At 40.4% G+C, this 6,231-nt stretch overlaps 1 annotated feature.

The window, feature by feature from the left end:
- Nucleotides 1–60: a silencer, noted in NCBI's record as "silent region_16071". NCBI's record gives its function as "represses an Ori minimal core promoter by ATAC-STARR-seq in GM12878 lymphoblastoid cells {active_cell/tissue: GM12878}" and the evidence as "EXISTENCE:reporter gene assay evidence [ECO:0000049][PMID:35858748]".

Raw genomic sequence — 6,231 nt, 5'->3', positions numbered from 1 at the left:
TGTTTTAAATCTAGGAGGAAGAAAAAAATAATTGTCTCTCTCGAGAATTCATCACCACAGCCCTGCCCTTGTGTGGGTTTGAGGTTTAAATTTATAACACCTGCATGAGCTGGGAAACCCTAAACCGAGAAATTAACACAGTAGTCCCAGTCTGGCAGTGCCTGGGCACCTGGCCAAAGCCAAAGAAAATCCTCTGCTGAGTCTGAACTGAGGGCCTTCTGAATTCCAACAGGTTTTACTTGCTCAAGTAGCTCAAACGTATTGAAAGTCATATAAGAAACATGCCACCATGATTGAGATTCAAAGAATGTTGACAGTTTTAAATGCTCATAGAATAAATGGAGAAACATCAATAATTAAAGACCTAAGTATACAACTTAATAAGTCAGGGGAAGAAGACAGAAAGAAGAAAGAAAGGAAATAAACCATAGAAATAAGTAAAAACAAGGATATAATAAAGAGAATTCAAACATATCAGAAAGTGGGTCATTGTAAGGCCTAGTTAAATAGACAAACCTTGGCAGGAATGATCAACAAAAATGGAGAGAAGGTGCGAAGAATATTAGAAAGTGAAAGGGGTACAAGACTGATATCGTAGAGAATAAGAAGAAGTTAATGTCACAGAATGAATTTATGACAGTAAATTTGAAAACGGATAAAATGGACAATTTTCTATAAAACCAAAACATAAAATTGATTGTAGAAGAAGTAGAAAACCTGAAAATGTCTATTACTATTCCAGAAATTGGATCACAATGTAAAAATCCACCCACTGAGCATACAATGAGAAAGTGCCGTGGGTAGCGGATAGGAGAAGGGTACCCTCATCTAGGCTCAAAGCCTTCCTTAACTGGTACATTTCAGCTGAAACCTGAGTGGTGAGAAGAAGTGAGCTATGCAAAGGTCTGGAGAACAAAATTCCAAATGTAAGGAAAATCAAATGCAAAGCCATCTGAGGCAGTGAGAGAAACAAAAAAGGCAGAGAGAAACGAACAGAAATAAAAGTTAAATGAAATAAAAAAAATAAAATTCTTACACTTGTAAATTCCTAAACAGCTAACATTTATTAAGTTCAAATCTGTGCAAATCATAGAGCTCTGAGTTTTATATACATGATTCCCCGTCCTCAAACATCTTTGCAAGGTAGGTTCTATTCCCATTTTGTAGAAGGGGTAGCTGAGGCTTAGTGCGGTTAAATAAAGTGGCCCACAGACACAGAGCTACTGAGTAGCAGATCCAGGACTCAAACTGGTCTGATATGTAAGCCTGAAGTTTGAACCACTTGTGCTGTGCCTGAGGAGAAAGTGCCAAAAATAAATGCCAAAGGCTGGGGCGAAGGCTTTCATGTGTGGTCACTGGTTCAGCAGCATCATCATCTCTTGGGACTTTGATAAACATGCAACTTCTCAGATTCTCAGGCCTCATCCCAGACTTGAATCAGAAACTCTGGGGGGTTGTGTCCAGTAATCTGTGTTTGTTAAAACACAGTTTTAACAAACCCCTTAGGTGATAACCTCTAGTATAGAGCAACTAGAAAGGTAGAATGTGGTGATGACAATGACACGGACCTAAGAGTTAGACAAACTGGACCCCTGGTTTGAGTCCAGCTCTGCCACTTCCTTATATACGATCTTATACATCACTTAAAATTTCTTAGCCTTGAGTCTCTTATCCATAAAATGGAGATAATTATAGTATGTACATTCAGGTTTTTGTGAGAATTAAGTAAAAACAAATGTAAATATTAGTAAATCAATGCCCTGGCACATTAAGTGTTCAATACATATTTGCTGGTATTCCTCTCTCTCATGCCTGGAGTCTGTCTTCCCTTAGCCTTTCCACAGGTACTCTGCATCCTCACTTTGCACTGGGGAAGAGGAATTAGAAAGATGGAACTATCTGGAGTCTTTAAGTCCAGGTGAAAGATGACAGTATAATATAGTAACTATACTAGAGCAATAGAAGTGGAAAAACAGAGAAGGGGAGGTCTCAAGAGTGGTGTCTAAGGAAGCATGGTTGGAGCTTGGTGCCTGATCAGATGTGGGGAAGAGCAAAACAAAGAGAGATGACTCTGGGCCTCTAGTTTGGCTGACAAGTGAACTGTGGTTCCAGTGAGAAAATAAATTTAGCTGCAAGAACAGGCTTGGGGTTATGATAATGTGTTCATATTTATATTTAGACAAGTGAGTGTGAAGGTGTGTGGGTGGCAGACAGAAAGAGAGAGAGAGAGACTGGAACTATAATATCAGTTGACAACCTGATCTTCCTTGTAATGGAAATTGCCACCTTCTTTCTGTGGGTACCAATGTGTTGTTGGAGAAGGGTGCTACTTGCCAGCCAGCAGGCCCTGCTGGTCATGCCACATTCTGTCGATACCCAGCAATCATGGCTAGGGCTAAGCACAGCCTTAACACAAGGAAGTGTCATTCAGGAGACAGACTGTGGGAAGGGAATGAAGCCATCACTAATGAATAGGCTAATAGGACTTGATGAGCAGTGAAAATCAATGAGGTACAAACTGCCTGCCTTAAAAAATGAGCAAGGTAAAAATGGAAGAATGCCAAACCACAGTTTTATCTCCAGTCTGTGCTAGTCCTCACCTACTGAAACAGAATTCACACTAATCTTGCACCATCCCTGTCATGGTCATGGGTCATGATTATGGATTATGGGTCATAGTCATCAGTTCAGTTTATCCGATTCCGTAATATTAATTATGCATCTAAGTACTGTCGGCTAAGATACATAATTTATATTAATTATGGGCTAAGTACTGTGCAAGACACAGAGACTGCAATTTTTGCTACTCTTCGTCCTCTGCATAATCATCACTATTATTTTATCGCTCAACATTACCTATAAAGTGCCAATAGATCTCTTTAGCTGCTGCCTGTCTTGCAAAATTGAATCACTGTACTCAATTAAGACTATTTGTTATTTTTATCTGTCCTCCAGCCAGCACATGCTGTGTCTGTGTCACTTTACACCATTATCTCTAGAACAGGGAGCACCCATGACATCTGAAGCTCAAACTCTCTTGAGTACAATTCTCAGGATCTCTGTGGCCAGGCTTCACACTAGGCTCATGAGTGCATTAAAAGACATCCAGATCCACAGGAAGGAAGGCACTGATGCTGACTGAGATCTCCCACCCTGATTTCCTACCTAAGAAAGCAAGTGAAAAATAAGCCCTTCCCAGACAAACCCAAAGCCCTTAGAGTGGAGGCAAATCCTCCTCTGGACACAGATACTAAAGGATTCTGAGTTGACAAGATGAATTCAGCTGTTTCTACATCTTAAATAGTGTGACACAGTGAAATGATCAGTAGATTAGAAGCCTCGTATTCTGTTCCCAGCTCTGCTTCCTTGGGTAAATCAGTGCATTTTTCTGGGTCCCAGCTTTCTTACCTGTAAAAATGGCCACATTCAAAGCAAGCCAGAGTGTTTTAGTTTCTAAGCTTCTCCGTAACTTAGTTACTCACTAACTGCTTTAAGTAAAGGAGGCACAAAGTAATGTTTTACATTTTCAGGAATGCATATCCCTGGCCAATGCCATATCCCTTTTTGGTGGTCTAAGTTGCTTGTTTGCATCTGAATGCCCTGGACAAGCCACACATGGATTTCTTTGTTTAAGAGAAGAAGCACATGATAGTCCTTTGTCTGCATAGAGGTGGATTCTAGCATAGAAGCCATGCCCCACATGGGGCCTTTGTGGTGCTCTGTTGTCTACCATGGGTCCTCTGATGCGTGACTGCCTAATAGGACCATTAGCAGCCTGAACCACCTGATTTTTCAGTGTTTGTGCCTTCTGGTTTCAAGGCTGCCACTTCTCTTGACAAGTGGTGTCTGTAAATACGCAGACCTCTGTGGCCGCCTGGATTTATGAAGTAATGCTTTGACTAACCCATCCACTTAATGGTCCCTGGCTCCTGGTGGCTCCTCACACCTGTCCCAGATCCTGGGAGACTGCCTCCATTCTCAACGCACTTGGTTAGCTCAGGCCCAACACCTTGGCCTTTGTCTATGACTCACTATCTCCCACTGTCAAGATAACATGCAGATAGGATTATACAGAATGGTTCTTGACTGGCCTGAAAGAGGCTGTTCACTCAGTTGGAGGCTGAGAAGAGTTATCAATGTTAATTACTAAAGCTGCATTCATTTCTTGCTATTTGGTGTGTTCTAAAAACCCTACTAGGATAAAGGAATGGAAAGGATTTGAACTTGTTCTGCCTTTCTGATTAAAAACGGGCTTAAGAAATTTGCTCTAGTTTAGACCTATGCTTAAGGTCTAGTGCCACCACCTTTATTATAGGAGGCAACTTGAGCTAAGCAAAATGAATCGGAGCTGCATATTGTAGGCAAGGACTATTACTTGTGTTATTTTTGGCTGCCAACAAAATACCAGGAAAATTACAAAGTAATAGTTACCGCTGTGAAAGAGAATAAGAAATAAAATTAACTTTTTATGCCTAAGGAAAAGCTTTCCATTCCCGTTATTTTTACAGGGCAGTACAGGAGCCGTCTGTGGGTCTTGGCACCAGATATCACATAAACAATCATTTGCACACACTAGGAATCCAAATATATTCTGTTCCTGGGGTCTGCATCTATTACCTTGACAGGAACAGAGAAAGAGTTTTAATCAGATTTATTTTATATGTAGAAATTGCCTCTTTTGTCAGCAGGAAAGAAATCTAGTCAAATGGATAATCTTATAAAAAGTAACATAAGCATGTCTAGAACCAAATCACACCCTATAAGACTCAGCCTTTCTTTCTTTTCTCCCACTTGCCCCAAATTTACCACACAAACTTGGAAATGAGCTGCCTTCTCATTGCTTAAAGCACTGACGGGATCCCACAGAAGAGGAGAAAAGTTGTTGTCCAATTAAGCTCCACGTGTGCATTCAACTCTTGTTGAAAAATTTAAAGAAGAAAAGGCTTCAGGCGGTAGTACAACATTTAACATGTCCTCATAGCCTTTCCTACTTTACTTCAGGGTCAAAATCTGTAGAGTCCAGACGGCATTGATGGAGCATCCTGGAGTTTATAGAAGGTTGTCTGTCTGGAGCTGGGAAAAGTCCACAGACTAGGAAAAGGATATATATTATTATAAGGAATTGGCTTCCATGATTCTAAAGGCTGAGAAGTCTCAAGGTCTGTGGTCAGCAAGCTGGAGACCCACCCAGGAGAGCCAACGGTGCAGTTCCAGTCTGAGTCTGAAGGCCTGCAAAACAGAAGAGCCAATGGTTTCAGTCTGAGTCCAAGTCCGAAGGCAGGAGAAAACCTATTTCCCAGCTCAGAAACACCATCATAGACACACCAAGAAAAATCTTTAATCAAATACCTGGGAACCCTCTAGTCCAATCAATGTAACATAAAAAAATTATCCATCACATGGAAACAGTAAAGAAATGTAAGACATGATTTATAAATTCATTGATTCAGTTCAATTTAGGACCAGATGAATTCACAGATGAGAAAACATACTCAGATTGGTGTGGCTCACTTTGACTACAATTTATTTCTGGAGAGCCTATCACTGACCTGGCCAGTATTTGAGGCAGCCAAAGGAGTTTGCTTTATTCGGTCCCTACACAATGAGAAGATTAGACTGTAAGCTCCTCTGGGAGTAATGACACATCCTGTACTTTAGTTCTGGCTATGAAGACACTGTAGAAAAACCTAAATCTCCTTATTTTTAGCTCTGAGCTATCTTTGTTATGTTTTGTCTAGTGGCCAGTGTGGTGTTCTGTTTTGGAAAGGAGCAGGAAGGTAAGGGGTCAAGAACAAAATGCAAATATCTTTGAATGGTGTTTGTGATGAGCAGCCCAGGTTACTTCTAGGTGAATTGTGGTGGCCATTTTCATTGAGTAGGTGACAAGTGTCTGAACCCCGTGGCGAAAAACAGAGAATTTTGTAACCAAAAATTTGGATTCAATTCTGGCTCTGCCGTTTCCTACTAGCGAGACTTTTAGCATGTTCCTTAACCTCTCTGAGTCAAATTTTATTCATCTGTTAAACCAGGATAATAATACTTGTTTGTCATCTTGTCTTACGCAGTATTTGAGAAGGTCAAAAAAAGATAATGAAAGGGATTTGTAAATATAATGTAGAATGTGAAATAAATACATCCATTCCGCAAACATTACTTGACACTAGGATGAATGAAGCCGACTTCAGCTCTCAAAAATTTAATAATCTAATCTAATAACCATCTGTGTGTGTG

This window comes from Homo sapiens, chromosome 5 (assembly GCF_000001405.40).
Source record: "Homo sapiens chromosome 5, GRCh38.p14 Primary Assembly".
Classification (NCBI taxonomy): Eukaryota; Metazoa; Chordata; class Mammalia; order Primates; family Hominidae; genus Homo; species Homo sapiens.
The sequence above is the reverse complement of the archived record's forward strand: the minus strand, read 5'-3'. Positions and strand labels throughout refer to the sequence as shown.